This window comes from Homo sapiens, chromosome 6 (genome assembly GCF_000001405.40).
Source record: "Homo sapiens chromosome 6, GRCh38.p14 Primary Assembly".
NCBI lineage: Eukaryota > Metazoa > Chordata > Mammalia > Primates > Hominidae > Homo > Homo sapiens.
The window spans coordinates 61,517,767-61,537,544 of record NC_000006.12 but is presented as its reverse complement, the minus strand read 5'-3'; positions in this window follow the sequence as shown (position 1 = coordinate 61,537,544).

The window sequence follows — 19,778 nt, the reverse complement described above, 5'->3', positions numbered from 1 at the left end:
TGTGCCACATTTTCTTTATCCAGTCTCTCATTGATGGGCATTTGGGTTGGTTCCAAGTCTTTGCTCTTGTGAATAGTGTTGCGATAAACATACATATGCATGTGTCTTTATAGTAGCGTGATTTATAATCCTTTGGGTATATACCAAGTCATGGTATTGCTAGGTCAAATTGTATTTCTGGTTGTAAATCCTTGAGGAATCGCCACACTGTCTTCCACAATGGTTGAACTAATTTACATTCCCACCAACAGTGTAAAAGCGTTCCTATTTCTCCACATCCTCTCCAGCATCTGTTGTTTCCTAACTTTTTAATGATCGCCATTCCAACTGGTGTGAGATGGTAACACATTGTGATTTTGACTTGCATTTCTCTAACGACCAGTGATGAGCTTTTTTTCATATGGTTTTTGGCCACATAAATGTCTTCTTTTGAGAAGTGTCTATTCATATGCTTTGCCCACATTTTGATGGGGTTGTTTTTTCTTGTAAATTTGTTTAAGTTCCTTGTATATTCTGGATATTAGCCCTTTGTCAGGTGGATAGATTGCCAAAATGTTCTCCCATTCTGTAGGTTGCCTGTTCACTCTTATGATGGTTTCTTTTGCCGTGCAGAAGCTCTTTAGTTTAATTAGATCCTGTTTGTTTATTTTGGCTATTGTTGCTAGTGCTTTTGGTGTTTTAGTCATGAAGTCTTTGCCCATGCCTATGTTCTTAATGGTATTGCCTAGATTTTCTTCTAAGGTTTTTATGGTTTTAGGTCTTATGTTTAAGTCTTTAATCCATCTTGAGTTAATTTTTGTATAAAGTGTAAGGAAGGGGTCCGGTTTCAGTTTTCTGCATATGGCTAGCCACTTTTCCCAACACTGTTTATTAAACAGAGAATCCTCTCCCCGTTGCTTGTTTTTGTCAGGTTTTTCAAAGATCAGATGGTTGCAGATGTGTGGCAGTATTTCTGAGGTCTCTGTTCTGTTCCGTTGGTCTTTATATCTGTCTTGGCACAAGTACCATGCTGTTTTGGTTACTGTAGCCTTGTAGTATAGTTTGAAGTCAGGGAGTGTGATGCCTCCAGCTTTGTTCTTTTTGTTTAGGATTGTCTTGGCTATATGGGCTCCTTTTTGGTACCATATTAAATTTAAAGTAGTTTTTTTCTAATTCTGTGAAGAAAGCCAATGGTAGTTTGATGGGAAGAACATTGAATCCTTAAATAACTTTGGGCAATATGGCCATTTTCATGGCATTGATTCTTCCTATCCATGAGCATGGAATGTTTCTCCATTTGTGTCCTCTCTTATTTCCTTGGTTTGTAGCTCTCCCTCAAGAGTTCCTTCACATCCCTTGTAAGTTGTATTCCTAGGTATTTTATTCTCTTTGTAGCAATTGTGAATGGGAGTTCACTCATGATTTGGCTCTCTGTTTGTTTGTAATTATTGGTGTATAGGAATGCTTGTGATTTTTGCACACTGATTTTGCATCCAGAGACTTTGCTGAAGTTGCTTATCAGCTTAAGGGATTTTGGGCTGAGACAATGGGGTTTTCTAAATATACAATCATGTCATCTGCAAACAGAGACAATTTGACTTCCTCTCTTTCTATCTGAATACACTTTATTTCTTTCCTCCTGCCTGATTGCCCTCACCAGAACTTCCAATATTATGTTGAATAGGAGTGGTTAGGGAGGGCATCCTTTTCTTGTGCTGGTTTTCAAAGGGAATGCTTCCAGCTTTTGTCCACTCAGTATGATATTGGCTGTTACTATTTTGAGATACTTTCCACTGATAACTAATTTATTGAGAGTTTTGGCATGAAGATGTGTTGTATTTTATCAAAGGCCTTTTCTGCATCTATTGAGATAATCGTGTGATTTTGTCATTGGTTCTGCTTATGTGACAGATTACGTTTAACTTGTTTATGTTGTATCAGCTTTGCATCCCAGGAATGAAGCCAACTTGATCGTGGTGGATAAGCTTTTTGATGTGCTGCTGGATTCATTTTGCCTGTATTTTACTGGCGATTTTTGCATCAATGTTCATCAGGGATATTGGCCTAAAATTTCCTTTTTTATTGTGTCTCTGCCAGGTTTTGATATCAGGATGATGCTGGCCTCATAAAATGAGTTAGGGAGGAGTTCCTCTTTTTCTATTGATTGGAATAGTTTCAGAAGGAATGGTATCAGCTCCTCGTTGTACCTCTTGTAGGATTTGGCTTTGAATCCATCTGGTCTTCGGCTTTTTTTTTGGTTGGTAGGCTATTAATTATGGCCTCAATTTCAGAACTTTTTATTGGTGTATTCAGGGATTTGACTTCTTCCTTGTTTAGTCTTGGGAGGGTGTATGTGACCAGGAATTTATCCATTTCTGCTAGATTTTCTAGTTTATTTGTGTAGAGGTGTTTATAGTATTCTTTGATGGTAGTTTGTATTTCTGTGGGATCAATGATGATATCTCCTTATCATTTTTATTGTATCTATTTGAATCTTCTCTCCTTTCTTCTTTATTAATCTGGCTAGTGGTCTATTTTGTTAATCTTTTCAGAAAACCAGCCTCTGGATTCATTGATTTTTTGAAGGGTTTTTCATGTCTCTATCTCCTTCAGTTCTACTCTGATCTTAGTTACTTCTTGTCTTCTGCTAGCTTTTGAATTTGTTTGCTCTTGCTTCTCTGGTTCTTTTAATCGTGATGTTAGGGTGTCGATTTTAGATCTTTCCTGCTTTCTTCTGTGGGCATTCAGTACTATAAGTTTCCCTCTAAACATTGCTTATGCTGTGTCCCAGAGATTCTGGTACATTGTGTCTATGTTCCTATTGGTTTCAAAGAACTTATTTATTTCTGCCTTAATTTCCTTATTTACCCAGTAGTCATTCTGGAGCAGGTTGTTCAGTTTCCATGTAGTCATGCATTTCTGAGTGAATTTTTTAATCTTGAGTTCTAGTTTGATTGCACTGTGGTCTGAGAGACTGTTATGATTTCCATTCTTTTGCATTTGCTGAGGACTTTTTTTACTTCCAATTATATGGCCAATTTTAGAATAAGTGTGATCTGGTGCTGAGAAGAATGTATATTCTGTTGATCTGGGATAAAGAGTTCTGTAGTTTTCTATTGGGTCCCCTTGGTCCAGAGCTGAGTTCAAGTCTTGAGTATCCTTGTTAATTTTCAGTCTTGTTGATCTGTCTAATATTGACATTGGGGTGTTAAAGTCTCCCATTATTATTGTGTGGGCATCTAAGTCTCTTTGTAGGTCTCTAAGAACTTGCTTCATGAATCTAGGTGCTCCTGTATTAGGTGTCTATATATTTAGGATAGTTAGCTCTTCTTGTTGCATTGATCCCTTTACCATTACGTGATACCTTTCTTTGTGTTTTTTGATTTTTGTTGGTTTAACATCTGTTTTACCTGAGACTAGGATTGCAACCACTCTTTTTTTTCTTCTTTCCATTTGCTTGGTAGATCTTCCTCCATCCCTTTATTTTGAGCCTATGTGTGTCTTTGCATTAAGATGGGTCTCCTGAATACAGCACACCAATGGGTCTTGGCCCTTTATCCAATTTGCCAGTCTGTGTCTTTTAGCTGGGGCATTTAGTCCATTTACATTTAAGGTTTAGGGTTAATCTTATTATGTGTGAATCTGATCCTGTCATTATGATGCTAGCTAGTTGTTTTGCTCCTTAGTTGAGGCAGTTTCTTCATAGTGTCGATGTTCTTTACAATTTAATATGTGTTTGCAACAGCTCTAAACAGTTTTTCCTTTCTATATGTAGTGTGTCCTTTAGGAGCTCTTGTAAGGCAGGCCTGGTGGTGACAAAATGTCTCAGCATTTGCTTATCTGTAAAGGGTTTTATTTCTCCTTTGCTTGTGAAGTTTAGTTTGGCTGGATATGAAATCCTGGGTTGAAAATTCTTTTCCTTAAGGATGTTGAATATTGGCCGCCACTTTCTTCTGGCTCATAGGTTTTCTGCAGAGATATCTGCTGTTAGTCTAATGGGCTTCCTTTTGCGGGTAACCCGACCTTTCTCTCTGGCTGCCCTTAACATTTTTTCCTCCACTTCTTCATTGGTGAATCTGACGATTATATGTCTTGAGGCTGCTCTTCTTGAGGACTATCTTTGTGGTGTTCTCTGTATTTCCTGAATTTGAATATTGACCTGTTTTGCTAGGTTGTGGAAGTTTTCCTGGATAATATCTTGAAGGTGTTTTGAAACTTGGTTCCATCCTCCCTGTCACTTTGAGGTACACTAATAAAACGTAGGTTTGGTCTTCTCACATAGTCCCATATTTTTTGGAGGCTTTGTTCCTTTTCATTCTTTTTTCTCTAATCTTGTCTTCATGCTTTATTTCATTTAGTTGATCTTCAATCTCTGATATTCTTTCTTCTGCTTGATCAATTCATCTGTTGATGCTTCTGTATGCTTCATGAAGTTCTCTTGCTGTGTTTTTCAGCTCCATCAGGTCATTTATGTTCTTCTCTAAACTGGTTATTCTAGTTAGCAATTCCTCTAACCTTTTTTCAAGGTTCTTAGCTTCCTTGCATTGGGTTAGAAAATGCTTCTTTAGCTCAGAAGAATTTGTTATTACCCACCTTCTGAAGCCTACTTCTGGCAATTTGCCAAACTCATTCTCCATCCAGTTTTGCTCCCTTGCTGGCGAGGACTTGTGATCCTTTGGAACAGAAGAGGCATTCTAGTTTTTAGAATATTCAGCCTTTTTGCACTGGTTTTTCCTCATCTTCATGGATTTTTCTATCTATGGTCTTTGATGTTGGTGACCTTCGTATGGGGTTTTTCTGTGGATGTCCTTTTGTTGATGTTGATGCTATTTCTCTATGTTTGTTAGTTTTCCTTTTGTCAGGCCCCTCTCCTGCAGGTCTGCTGGAGTTTGCTGGATGTCCACTCCAGACCCTGTTTGCCTGGGCATCACCAGTGGAGGCTGCAGAACAGCAAAGATTGCTGCCTGTTCCTTCCTCTGGAAGCTTCATCCCAGAGGGGCACCTGCCAGATGCCAGCTGGAGCTCTCCTGTATGTGGTGCGTGTCAACCCCTGCTGGGAGGTGTCTCCCCATCAGGAGGCATGGGGGTCAGGGACACACTTGAGAAGGCAATCTGTCCCATAGCAGAGCTTGAGTGCTGTGCTGGGAGATTGGAGGCTCTTTTCAGAGACAGTAGGCAGGAACATTTAAGTCTGCTGAAGTTGTGCTCACAGTTGCCCCTTGCCCAAGGTGCTCTGTCCCAGAGAGATGGGAGTTTTATCTGTAAGCCCCTGACTGCGGCTGCTGCCTTTCTTTCAGACATGCCCTGACCAGAGAGGGGGAATCTGGAGGGAAAGTCTGGCTCCAGTTGCTTTGCTTAGCTGCAACGGGCTCCACCCAATTTGATCTTCTGGGTGGCTTTATTTATACTGTGAGGGGAAAACCACCTACTCAACCCTCAGTAATGGCAGATACCCCTCCCCCACAAAGCTAGAGCATCCCAGGTGGACTTCAGATTGCTGTGTTGGCAGTGAGAACTTCAAGTCAGTGGATCTTAGCTTGCTGGGCTCCATGGGGGTGAGATTCCTTGAGCTAGACCACTTGGCTCCTGGCTTCAGCATCCCCTTTCCAGGGGAGTGAGTGGTTCTGTTTCACTGAAGTTCCAGGCACTACTGGGGTATGAAAATAAACTCCTGCAGCTAGCTTGGTGTCTTCTCAAATGGCCACCCAGCTTTGTGCTTGAAATCCAGGGCCCTGGTGGTGTAGGCACCTGAGGGACTTTCCTGGTCTGTGGGTTGTGAAGACCATGGGAAAAGCATAGTATGTGTGCCAGAATGCACCATTCCTCAAGGCACAATCCCGCACAGTTTCCCTTGGCTAGGGGAGGGAGTTCCCAACCCCTTGCACTTCCAGGGTGAGGCAATGCCCCATCCTGCTTCAGCTTGCCCTCCGTGGGCTGCAATCACTCTCTAACCAGTCCCAGTGAGATGAGCTGGGTACCTCAGTTGGAAATGCAGAAATCACCCACCTTCTGCATTGATCTCGCTGGGAGCTGCCAACCAGAGATGTTCCTATTTGGCTATCTTGCCAGCCATCCTTTTCTCTCTTTTTTTTTTTAAGTTCAGGAGTACATGTGCAGGTTCGTTATATAGGTAAACTTATGTCACAGGGGTTTGTTGTAGAGATTATTTCATCACCCAAGTATTAAGCCTAGTATCCCTAAGTTATTTTGCCTGACCCTCTCTCTCCTCCCACCGCACACCCTCTGGTAGGCCCCAGTGTCTGTTGTTCCCCCCTATATGTCCATGTGTTCTCATCATTTAACTTTCAGTTATAAGTGAGAAAGTGTGGTATTTGGTTTTCTGTTCATGTGTTAGTTTGTTAAGGATAATGGCCTCCAGCTCCATCCATGCTCCTGCAAAGAACGTGATTTAATTCTTTTGTATTATACATATACATACGGTGTATATATACCACATTTTCTTTATCGAGCCTACCATTGATGGGTATTTAGGCTGACTCCATGTCTTTGCTATTCTAAATAGTGCTGCAATGAACATATGCATGCAGGTATCTTTATGATACGATGATTTATATTTCTTTGGATATATATACAGCAATGATATTGAAGGGTTGAATGGTAGTTCTGTTTTTATGTCTTTGAGGAATCAGCACACTGCTTTTCACTATGGTTGAACTAATTTTCACTCCCACCAAACAGTGTATAAGCTTTCCTGTTTTCTCCACAACCTTGCCAGCATCTGTTAATTTTTGACTTTTTAATAGCCATTCTGACTGGTGTGAGATGGTATCTCATCATGGTTTTGATTTTCATTTTTCTAATGCTTAGTGATGTTGAGCTTTTTTTCATATGCTTGTTAGCCACATGTATATTTTCTTTTGAAAAGTGTCTGTTCCTGTCCCTAGCCCACCTTTTAATGAGGTTGTTTGGGTTTTTTCTTATAAATTTATTTAAGTTATTTGTAGATGCTGGAAATTAGAACTTTGTCAGATGCACAGTTTGCAAACACTTTCTCCCATTCTGTATGTTGTCTGTTTACTCTGTTGATAGTTTCTTTTGCTGTGCAGAAGCTCTTTAATTTAATTAGGTCCCATTTGTCAATTTTTGTTTTTGTTGCAATTGCTTTTGGGGTCTTAGTCATGAAATCTTTACCCTTTCCTATATCCAGAATGGTTTTGCCTCAGTTGTCTTCCCAATATTTTTACCATTTTGGGTTTTACATTTAGGTCTTTAATTCATCTTGAGTTGATTTTTGTATATAGTGTGTGATGTTTAATACTGAGTGTCAACTTGATTGGATTGAAGGATGCAAATTATTGTTCCTAGGTGTATCTGTGAGGGTGTTGCCAAAAAACATTAACATTTGAGTCAGTGGACTGAGAGAGACTGACCCACTTTCAATCTGGTTGGGCATCATCTAATTAGTTGCCAGTGCAGCTAGAATAAAGCAGGCAGAAGAAGATAGAAAGAACAGACTTGCTGATTCTTCCAGCCTTTATCTTTCTCGCATACTGGATGCTTCCTGCCCTCAAACATCAGACTCCAAGTTCTTCAGCTTTTGGACTCTTGGACTTACACCAGTGGTTTACCAGGGGCTCTCAGGCCTTCCATGACAGACTGAAGACTGCACTGTCGGCTTCCCTAATTTTGAGGTTTTCAGACTCGGACTGGCTTCCTTGCTCTTTAGCTTGTAGATGGTGTATTGTGGGACTTCACCTCATGATTGTGTCAGGCAGTACTGCTTAATAAATTCCCCTTTATATTAGTTCTGTCTTTCTAGATAACCCTGACTAATACATGAAGTAAGGAAGGAGTCCAGTTTCAATTCTCTGCAGATGGGTAGCCTGTTATCCCAGCACCATTTATTGAATAGGAAGTCCTTTCCTCATTGCTTGTTTTTGTCAGCTTTGTCAAAGATTAGATTATTGTAGGTATGCAGCCTTACTTCTGGGCTTTCTATTCAGTTCCATAGGTCCATGTGTCTGTTTTGGTACCACTGCTTTGCTGTTTTGGTTACCATAGCCCTGTAGTTACAGTTTAAAGTTGAGTAGTGTAATGCCTCTTGCTTTGTTCTTTTTGCTTAGAATTGCTTTGGCTATTCAGGCTCTTTTTTTGGTTCCATATGAATTTCAAATAGTTTTTTTATAGTTTTGTGAAGAATGTCATTGGTAGTTTGATAAGAATAGCTTTGAATCTTGTAAATTGCTTTGGACAGTATGGCCATTTTAACAATATTGATTCTCCTATGCATGAACATGGAATGGTTTTCCATTTTTTTGGAGGCACTGGCTTTCAATGACTGTTGGATAAATTTTTCTTTTAATTTCAATATTTTTTTCATGGGTTCTTGATTAGGTAGTATTACTATATTGAGCAAATGTTTAAACAACTTTCCAAACCTGAAACATCAAATTATAAAACCTACCAGGCAAATTTTAGCTGATTTCTTCTACATAGCTGGTTATGCCCACTGGAAACTTAGAACTAGTAAGGGCAATAAAACACATTCATGAATTAAAGTAATATAACACGGATGCTATAGGAATTACAGATAAAATAAGCAACTAATGATTCCTAGGAAGGGTCATTTTCTTTCAGAAACAAACAAGGATGACTTCATGGAAAAAATAAATTGGAGATGGATTTTAAGGTTAGGGTGGGATTTCCACAGGTGAAATAAATTTTGGGGATAAAACACTGCCTACCACACAGATGTAAAAATATAAACAGAAGTATGGAAGCAAGAAGTAAAGAAAAAAGCAATAATGATTATTGTTATCATTTATTGAGTACTTATGGTGTGCCATAAATTAAGCTGAGGTTTTATATATACTGTCTTTAATACTCCTACAGGAAGAGTACTGTTATCTTTATCTTATAGAAATGTAAAAAATTGAGGTGAGGTTCAATAATTTCAGAGACATCAAGCAAATACAATGTAGAAAATCCAGAATTTATGTTTACATCTGCCTGACTCTAAAATTTGTGGTATTTTTGGTATGTCCATGCTGTTCAGGCCAAGTAAAGCAAGGTCCAAGAACAGGGATTGTTCAACCATGTTCAATGCTACTGAGAAGTTGAATAAGGGAAGTGAGAACTGACCTTTGGCTATGACCAGAAGATCACTATTGGCATTGAAAGGAACAGTTTCAAAGTTCTGTTGAGGCTGAATTCTTGATTACAGTGGATTCCAGAGAGAATGAAATGTGAGAAAATGGAGACATTGATGGTAGACAAATCTTTAGAGAATTTGACTGTGTAGGAGAGGAGAAAAATAATTTTCTCTCTATCCTTCATAGTTCTTAGCTAGGAAAAAGATAGTTTACTAATGGAAAAACAAACAAACAGATTTATCATGTATATCTCATATATACATGGGAGATAGGGGAAAAGAGCATATCTCAACAAGGCAGCCTAGAACTCTGGCTGTGATACAGCATCTTCAACTCAAAGAAAGAAAGAAGGGTGTTGGGGAGGCCAGATATGGGAAATTTATGGTAGATAAAAGGTAGTTAGTGAAGTTTGTTATATAGATTCCTCTGGTTCCATATCCAGGTTTGTAATGGTCTGAAGTAATCTCTAGTGATCAGCCTGTCTTTCCTGGTAGAGGGGGATGGAGGGACACTTTTTAAATGTAGGTCCTGCTTTTAGGTTAATAGAGTGTGGGGGCCAATGGGGAACTTCCCCTTTGGAAGGTTCTCTGAAAAATCTGCTTGCACAAGGCAGATTAGTACAAGAAAAGACATGTAAATGTGTTTAACACGTGTACACAGTAGCCTTCAGAATGAAGACCCAAAGATACAGAGGAAATTGCTCATTTTTATGCTGAAGGTCAACAAAGTATGGACAGCCATGTAGAAATATGGGTGGTCAAGGAAGGACACAGTGAAACAGTGCAGGTCAGATAATTTCTTTATGACCAGCTTTTACAAAGATAGGGCAAAGGGAAAGTTAGAGTAATATTTTTAGGTTTTATGACTGGTTTTAGGAAAAAAGGGTTCTTGGTTTCTATAACCCTACTTGAGGAAGAGGGATTCTAGTTTCTATGGCTAGCCTTGGCAGAGAATGGGACTGAGATACAGGAGGGTTGGAGAAGTTCAGAGAAAAACTTTTGCTTCTGAGGCCTTTGTTTTGGGATATTGTTTTGTGAGTCCCAGCAGAGAAGAGGCAGAGACTTTTCTTGTATCTGCTTCTGAATTTCCTTCAGCTCAAAATAATTCTTAAGCCAAAGTGGCATATTTTATATTGGATATTCTGCTGTCTTTCAGCTATCAAGAAAAGCAGGCAAGTAATGCAATAACTGGACAATGACCTGGGGTCAAGGAAATATTTTTGGTTTTATGTTTTGTTTGTTAGTAAACATGATCCAATACAGAGGAAGAAGATGATGATATAAGAAGAGGGATCATTATAGGATCCAAGTCCTCAAGAAGGTGGCACTGTCTGGGAACCAGTGGAAGGAAGGGCTGTCTGGAACCAGTGGGAGGGCAGGATTGGTGATAACTTATAGTGATAGAAGAAGGAGCAGAAGACCTGGGCACAGGTCCAGATAGGCTATTTGTTTTGGAGCTGGGGAAAAACAAGAAGGCATTATCTGATTTTTTGTTGTCAATAAAATAGGAAGCAAAGTTGTCAGCAGAGAAGTAGGGCAAGGGGATAAAATGAAGACTATAGTAGTGAGTTGTACTGAGTCTATTGCATTCTTATTCTGAAAATCACAGTATGAAGTCTGAGGCTTCTTGCTTTATAGAGGAAGCACACCACCTGGAACAGAGGAAAAAGACCAAAGTCAGCAATGCTGAAATAAGAAAATCCTACAAAAGCCTGAAGATCATTTCTATAGACACAGATCTGAGTAGCACAAAGTGAAATGAGAAATAGATCATTTCTATTTCTCATAATAGTAGCCCAAAGTGTATAAATCATCTTAGATATTGACAGTAAAGCATCCACAGAGCATTAGGCAGGAGAAGTGGAACCTGCTGACCACGGGAGAGTAATAGCAGTGCGATTCCCAAACTTGTATTTCCATATATGAAACATAGATATAATAGTATTTGCTGAGTTAGGTGACAAGTTCTGTAGTGGCCTTGGAGAAGCTGGTGGGAGGTAAAGCAGTGCAGGTAGGGGGCTTCTAGTGATGACTGAGAAAATGTACATTATCCAAATGAAGTGACAAAATAAGGAAATTCAAAGGAAATATAGCTATGGAATGAAGATTTGATAAACTATCAGGTTAAAAGAATTGTGAATACAAGTATGTATTTATAATCTATTTCAGGTGGCATTCTAAAAATATGTCACCAGTTAGGTATTTGCTTATGTTTTATTCATTCATACATTTTAAAAATCATATTACACAAATGTGTTGCATAAAATTAGTTTATATATAACAGTCACTTATATAGATACTACAACGTGTTTGGTGCAAAGAGCTTTATGTACATTAACTCATTTAATGGAAATGACAACTCTTTGACATATATACTGTTATTATACCCATCTTAAAGATAAGAGAATTGAAGCAAGAGACCTTCAAGGATCTCATTCCTAGCAATAGGTGAAGCTAAGGCTATAAATACAGACTGACTTTTACCTTCTATCCTGTGTTATCTTCTAATTACAGACATTCAGTTCAACAAGTACATTAACATAAGAAATCTAGGTAACAAAGTAGACAGAAGAAGTAGAGAGAAATTATTGTACCAGGACATTAGATTGGGCATGACTGCTGCCTGTGGATAAATTACAGTTTGTCCCAGTCTGCAGTGACAAATCGTGAGTGTTATGGGCTGAATCGTGACTCCTCAAAATTCATATGTTGAAGCCCTAAACCACAGTACACAAGAATATGACTGTTTGAAGCTGGGTCCTGTAAAGATATGGTTGGGTTATGAGGCCCTTAGGATGGGCACATACGAAGCCATTAGAATGGTCTCTTATGGGTTCTTATAAGAAGAGGAAATCTGGACAGACAGAAAGACATCAGGGATATGCATACAGAGGAAATGCCAAGTGGGAATGAATGCAACCCTATGGCAGCTGTCTGCAAGCCAAAGACAGACTTTAGGAGAAACCAAGCCTGACAATAAGTCTTGGACTTTGAGCCTCCAGAACTTTGATATTACAAATTCTCTTTCTTTAAGCAACCCAATGGGAGGTATTTTCTTTTTTTTATTATTATAGTTTAAGTTTTAGGGAACATGTGCACAATGTGAAGGTTTGTTACATATGTATACATGTGCCATGTTGGTGTGCTGCACCCATTAACTCTTCATATAACATTAGGTATATCTACTAATGCTATCCCTCACCCCTCCCCCGAGGCCACAACAGGCCCTTGTGTGTGATGTTCCCTTCCTGTGTCCATGTGTTCTCATTATTCAATTCCCACCTATGAGTGAGAACATGCAGCGTTTGGTTTTTTGTCCTTGCGATACTTTACTGAGAATGATGGTTTCCAGCTTCATCCATGTCTCTAAAAAGGACATGAACTCATCATTTTTTATGGCTGCATAGTATTCCACGGTGCATATGTGCCACATTTTCTTAATCCAGTCTATCATTGTTGGACATTTGGGTTGGTTCCAAGTCCTTGCTATTGTGAATAGTGCCGCAATAAACATATGTGTGCATGTGTCTTTATAGCAGCATGTTTTATAATCCTTTGGGTATATACCCAGTAATGGGATGGCTGGGTCAAATGGTATTTCTAGTTCTAGATCCCTGAGAAATTGCCACACTGACTTCCACAATGGTTGAACTAGTTTACAGTCCCACCAACAGTGTAAAAGTGTTCCTATTTCTCCACATCCTCTCCAACACCTGTTGTTTCCTGACTTTTTAATGATTGCCATTCTAACTGGTATGAGATGGTATCTCATTGTGGTTTTGATTTGCATTTCTCTGATGGCCAGTGATGATGAGCATTTTTCATGTGCTTTTTGGCTGCATAAATGTCTTCTTTTGAGAAGTGTCTGTTCATATCATTTGCCCACTTTTTGATGGGGTTGTTCGTTTTTTTCTTGTAAATTTGAGTTCATTGTAGATTCTGGATATTAGCCCTTTGTCAGATGAGGAGGTTGCAAAAATTTTCTCCCATTTTGTAGGTTGCCTGTTCACTCTGATGGTAGTTTCTTTTGCTGTGCAGAAGCTCTTTAGTTTAATTAGATCCCATTTGTCAATTTTGGCTTTTGTTGCCATTGCTTTTGGTGTTTTAGAAATGAAGTCCTTGCCCTTGCCTATGTCCTGAATGGTATTGCCTAGGTTTTCTTCTAGGGTTTTTATGGTTTTAGGTCTAACATGTAAGTCTTTAATCCATCTTGAATTAATTTTTGTATAAGGTGTAAGGAAAGGATCCAGTTTCAGCTTTCTACCTATGGCTAGCCAGTTTTTCCAGCACCATTTATTAAATAGGGAATCATTTCCCTATTGCTTGTTTTTGTCTTGTTTCTCAAAAATCAGATAGTTGTAGATATGCAGCATAATTTCTGAGGGCTCTGTTCTGTTCCATTGGTCTATATCGCTCTTTTGATACCAGTACCATTCTGTTTTGGTTACTGTATCCTTGTAGTATAGTTTGAAGTCAGGTAGCATGAAGCCTCCAGCTTAGTTCTTTTGGCTTAGGATTGACTTGGCAATGTTGGCTCTTTTTTGGTTCCATATGAACTTTAAAGTAGATTTTCCAATTCTGTGAAGAAAGTCATTGGTAGCTTGATGGGGATGGCATTGAATCTATAAATTATCTTGGGCAGTATGGCCATTTTCCTGATATTGATTCTTCCTACCCATGAGCATGGAATGTTCTTCCATTTGTTCGTATCCTCTTTTATTTCATTGAGCAGTGGTTTGTAGTTCTCCTTGAAGAGGTCCTTCATGTACCTTGTAAGTTGGATTCCTAGGTATTTTATTCTCTTTGAAGCAATTGTGAATGGGAGTTCACTCATGATTTGGCTCTCTGTTTGTCTGTTATTAGTGTATGAGAATGCTTGTGATTTTTGCACATTGATTTTGTATCCTGAGACTGCTGAAGTTGCCTATCAGCTTAAGGCGATTTTGAGCTGAGATGAAGGGGTTTTCTAGATATACAATCATGTCATCTGCAAACAGGGACAATTTAACTTCCTCTTTTCCTAATTGAATACCCTTTATTTCCTTCTTCTGCCTAATTGCCCTGGCCAGCACTTCCAACACTATGTTGAATAGGAGTGGTGAGAGACAGCATTCCTGTCTTGTGCCAGTTTCCAAAGGAATGCTTCCACTTTTTGTCCATTCAGTATGATATTGGCTGTGGTTTTCTCATAGATAGCTCTTATTATTTTGAGATACATCCCATCAATACTTAATTTATTGAGAGTTTTTAGCATGAATGGTTGTTGAGTTTTGTCAAAGGCCTTTTCTGCATCTATTGAGATAATCATGTGGTTTTTGTCTTTGGTTCTGTTTATATGTTGGATTACATTTATTGATTTGCATATGTTGAACTGGCCTTGCATCCCAGGGATGGAGCCCACTTGATCATGGTGGATAAGCTTTTTGATGTGCTGCTGGATTCAGTTAGCCAGTATTTTATTGAGGATTTTTGCATCGATGTTCATCAGTGATATTGGTCTAAAATTCTCTTTTTTCGTTGTGTCTCTGCCCGGCTTTGGTATCAGGATGATGCTGGCCTCATAAAATGAGTTAGGGAGGATTCCCTCTTTTTCTATTGATTGGAATAGTTTCAGAAGGAATGGTTCCAACTCCTCCTTGTACCTCTGGTAGAATTCGGCTGTGAATCCATCTTGTCCTGGACTTTTTTTGGTTGGTAAGCTGTTAATTATTGCCTCAATTTCATAGCCTGTTAGTGGTCTATTCAGAGATTCAACTTCTTCCTGGTTTAGTCTTGGGAGGGTGTATGTGTCAAGGAATTTATGCATTTCTTCTAGATTTTCTAGTTTTTTTTTTTTTGCGTAGAGGTGTTTGTAGTATTCTTTGATGGTAGTTTGCATTTCTGTGGGATCAGTGGTGATATTCCCTTTATCATTTTTTATTGCATCTATTTGATTCTTCTCTCTTTTCTTCTTCATTAGTCTTGCTAGCGGTCTATCAATTTTGTTGATCTTTTCCAAAAACCAACTCCTGGATTCATTAAATTTTTGAAGGGTTTTTTGTGTCTCTATTTCCTTCAGTTCTGCTCTGATCTTAGTTATTTCTTGCCTTCTGCTACTTTTGAATGTATTTGCTCTTGCTTCTCTAGTTCTTTTAACTGTGATGTTAGGGTGTCAATGTTAGATCTTTCCTGCTTTCTCTTGTGGGCATTTAGTGCTACGAGTTTCCCTCTACACACTGCTTTGAAAGTGTCCCAGAGATTCTGGTATGTTTTGTCTTTGTTCTCGCTGGTTTCAAAGAACATCTTTATTTCTGCCTTCATTTCCTTATGTACCCAGTCATCATTCAGGAGCAGGTTGTTCAGTTTCCATGTAGTTGAGTGGTTTTGAGTGAGTTTCTTAATCCTGAATTCTAGTTTGATTGCACTGTGGTCTGAGAGACAGTTTGTTATAATTTCTCTTCTTTTACATTTGCTGAGGAGTGTTTTACTTCCAAGTATGTGGTCAATTTTGGAATAGGTGTGGTGTGGTGCTGAAACGAATGTATATTCTGTTGATTTGGGGTGGAGAGTTCTGTAGATGTCTATTATGTCTGCTTGGTGCAGAGCTGAGTTCAATTCCTGGATATCCTTTTTAATTTTCTGTCTCATTGATCTGTCTAATGTTGACAGTGGGTTGTTAAAGTCTCCCATTATTATTGTGTGGGAGTCTAAGTCTCTTTGTAGGTCACTCAGGACTTGCTTTATGAATCTGGGTGCTCCTGTATTGGGTGCATATATATTTAGGATAGTTAGCTCTTCTTGCTGAATTGAGCCCTTTACCATTATGTAATGCCCTTCTTTGTCTCTTTTGATCTTTGTTGGTTTAAAGTCTGTTTTATCCAAGACTAAGATTGCAACCCCTGCCTTTTTTGTTTTCCATTTGCTTGGTAGATCTTCCTCCATTCCTTTATTTTGAGCCTATCTTATGTGTCTCTACATGTGAGATGTGTTTCCTGAATAGAGCACACTGATGGGTTTTGACTCTTTGTCCAATTTGCCAATCTGTGTCTTTTAAATGGGCATTTAGCCCATATACATTTATGGTTAATATTGTTATCTGTGAATTTCATCCTATCATTATGATGTTAGCTGGTTATTTCGCTCATTAGTTGATGCAATTTCTTCCTAGCATTGATGGTCTTTACAATTTGGCACGTTTTTGCAGTGGCTGGTACCGGTTGTTCCATTCCATGTTCAGTGCTTCCTTCAGGAGCTCTTGTAGGGCAGGTCTGGTGGTTACAAAATCTCTCAGCATTTGCTTGTCTGTAAAGAATTTTATTTCTCCTTCACTTATGAAGCTCGGTTTGGCTGGATATGAAATTCTGGGTTGAAAATTCTTTTCTTTAAGAATGTTGAATATTGGCCCCCAACAGGTGCAGAGAGATCACCTGTTAGTCTGATGGGCTTCCCCTTATGGGTAACCTGACCTTTCTCTCTGGCTGCCCTTAACATTTTTTCCTTCATTTCAACTTTGGTGAATCTGACAATTGTATGTCTTGGAGTTGCTCTGTGGTTGTTCTCTGTATTTCCTGAATTTGAATGTTGGCCTGCCTTGCTAGATTGGGGAAGTTCCCCTGAATAATATCCTGCAGAGTGTTTTCCAACTTGGTTCCATTCTCCCTGTCTCTTTCAGGTACACCAATCAGACGTAGATTTGGTCTTTTCACATAGTCCCATATTTCTTGGAGGCTTTATTCTTTTTCACCATAGGCCTAAATTCACTCCCAAATATCCCTTTGCAGATTCTACAAAAAGTGTTTCCAAACTGCTGCTGGCAAAGTAAGGTTTTACTCTGTGCGGTGAATGCACACATCAAAAAGGAGTTTCTCAGGATGCCTCTTTTTAGTTTTTATCTGAAGATATTATCTTTTTCAGCATAGGCCTCAATGTGCTCCCAAATATCCCTCCACAGATTCTTCAAAACAGTTTTGAATTAAAAGAAATGTTTAACTCTGTGTGATAAATGCACACATCACAAAGCCATTTCTGAGAAAGTTTCTTTCTATTTTTTATCTGAAGTTAATTTCTTTTCACCTCAATGTGCTCCCAAATATCCCTTCACAGATTCTTAAAAAGCAGTGTTTCCAAACTGATGAATGAAAAGAAACTTTTAACTGTGCAACATGAATGCACACTTCACAAAGTTGTTTCTCAGATAAATTCCTTCTAGGTTTTATCCTGGGATATTCTTTTTTTTTGTCATTGGCATCGATGAGCTCCCAAATGTAGATTCAGAGAATGGATGACAACAGTGTTTCCAAACTGCTAAATCAAAAACTTTTAACTCTGTGAGTTGAATGCAAAAATCATAATGCATATTAACAGGTAACATTCTTCTAGTTTTTATCCTGGTATATTCGCTTTTTCACCATTGGCCTCAAGGATCTCCCAAATGTCCATTCACAGAATTGTCAAAAAGTGTTTCCAAACTGCTGAATTAAAAGACAGTTTTAACTCTGTGAGATGAATACACACATTACAAAGCAGTTTCTCAGAAACCTTCTTTCTACTTTTTATCTGAAGATGTTTTCTTTTTCACCGTAGGCCTCAATGCACTCCCACATATTCATTCACAGATTCTACAAAAACAGTGTTTCAAAAATACCAAATAAAAGGAAAGGTTTAACTCAGAGAGGTGAATTCACACCTCACAAAGCAGTTTCTCAGGTAGCTTCCTTCTAGTTTGTATCCCTGGATATTTGCTTTTTCACCAGTGGACTCAATGAGCTCCCAAATGTCCATTCACAGAACAGACAAAAACAGTGTTTACAAACTGCTGAATCAAAAGAAATGTTTAACTCTGTGAGATGAATGCAGACATCACAAAGCAGTTTCCCAGAAACCTTCCTTCTAGTTTTAATGTGAAGATATTTTCCTTTTCACCATAGGCCTCAATGAGCTCCCATATATCCCTTTGCAGATTCTACAAAAACAGTGTTTCCAAACTGCTGAATGAAAAGAAAGGTTTATCTCTGTGAGATGAATGCTCATATCACAAAGCAGTTTCTCAGATAGCTTAATTCTAGTTTTTATCCTGGGATATTCGCATTTTCACCATTGGCCTTGATGAGCTCCCAAATATCCTTTTACAAAATGGACAAAAACAGTGTTTCCAAATGGCTAAATGAAAAAGAAAAGTTTAACTCTGCAAGATGAATGCACATCACAAAACAATTTCTCAGAAAGCTTCTTTCTAGTTTTAATCTGAAGATATTTACTTTTTGACCATAGGCTTTAATGCAGGTCCAAATATCCCTTCTCATATTTCACAAAAACAGTGTTTCCAAACTGCTTAATGAAGAGGAAGTTTTAACTCTTCGAGATGAATACCCACATCACAAAGCAGTTTCTGAGAGAGGTTCCTTCTAGTATTTATCCTGGGATATTCTCTTTTTCACCTTTACCTCAATGAGCTCCCAAATGTCCATTCACTCAATGGAGAAAAACAGTGTATACAAACTGCTCAGTAAAAAGAAAGGCTTAACTCTGTGAGATGAATGCACAAATCACATAGTGTGTTCTCAGTTAGCTTCCTTCTAGTTTTTATCCTGGTATATTCACTTTTTCGCCATTGGTCTCAATGAGCTCCCAAATGTCCATTTGCAGAATGTTCAAAAACAGTGTTTCCAAGCTGCTGAATTAAAAGAAATGGTTAACTCTGTGAAATGAGTGCACACATCACAAAGCAGTTTCTCAGAAAGCTTCTTTCTACATTTTATCTGAAGATTTTTTTCGCCATAGGTCTCCTTGCACTCCAAAATATCCCTTCACAGATTCTATGAAAACAGTGTGTGCAATCTGCTGAATGAGAAGTAAGCTTTATCTCTGCAAGATGAATGCACACATCACAAAGCAGTTTCTCAGATAGCTTCTTTTTGTTTTTATCCTGAGATATTCAGTTTTTCACCATTGGCCTCAATGAGCCACAAACTGTCCATTCGCTGAATGGACAAAAACACTGGTTCAAACTGCTGAATCAAAAGAAAGGTTTAATTCTGTGAGATGAATGTGCAAATCAAAAAGCACTTTCTCAGAAAGCTTCCTTCGACTTTTTATCTGAAGATATTTTCTTTTTCACCATAGCCTCAATGCACACCCAAATATCCCTTCAAAGACTATACACAGTGTTTCCAAACTGCTGAATGTGTAGAAAGGTTTAACTGTGGGATGAATGCACACATCACAAAGTGGTTTCTCAGATAGCTTCCTTAAATTTTTATCCTGGGATATTCACTTTTTCTCCATTGGCCTCAATGAGCTCCTAAATATCCATTCACATCATGAACAAAAACAGTGTTTCCAAACTGTTGAATCAAAAGTATGATTTGACACTGTGAGATGAGTTCACACATCACCAAGCAGTTTGTCAGAAAGCTTCTTTCTAGTTTTTGTCTGAAGACATTTTCTTTTTCACCATAGGCCTCAATCTACTCTGAAATATCCCTTAACAGATTCTACAAAAACAGTGTTTCCAAATTGCTGAATGAGAAAAAAGGATTAACTCTGAGAGATGAAGGCATGCAACACAAAGTGGTTTCTCAGATAGCATCCTTGCAGTGTTTATACAGGGATATGTGCTTTTTTGCCATTGGCCTAAATCAGCTACAAAATGTGCATTTGCAGAATGGACAAAAAGAGTGCATCCAAACTACTGAATGAAAAGAAATGT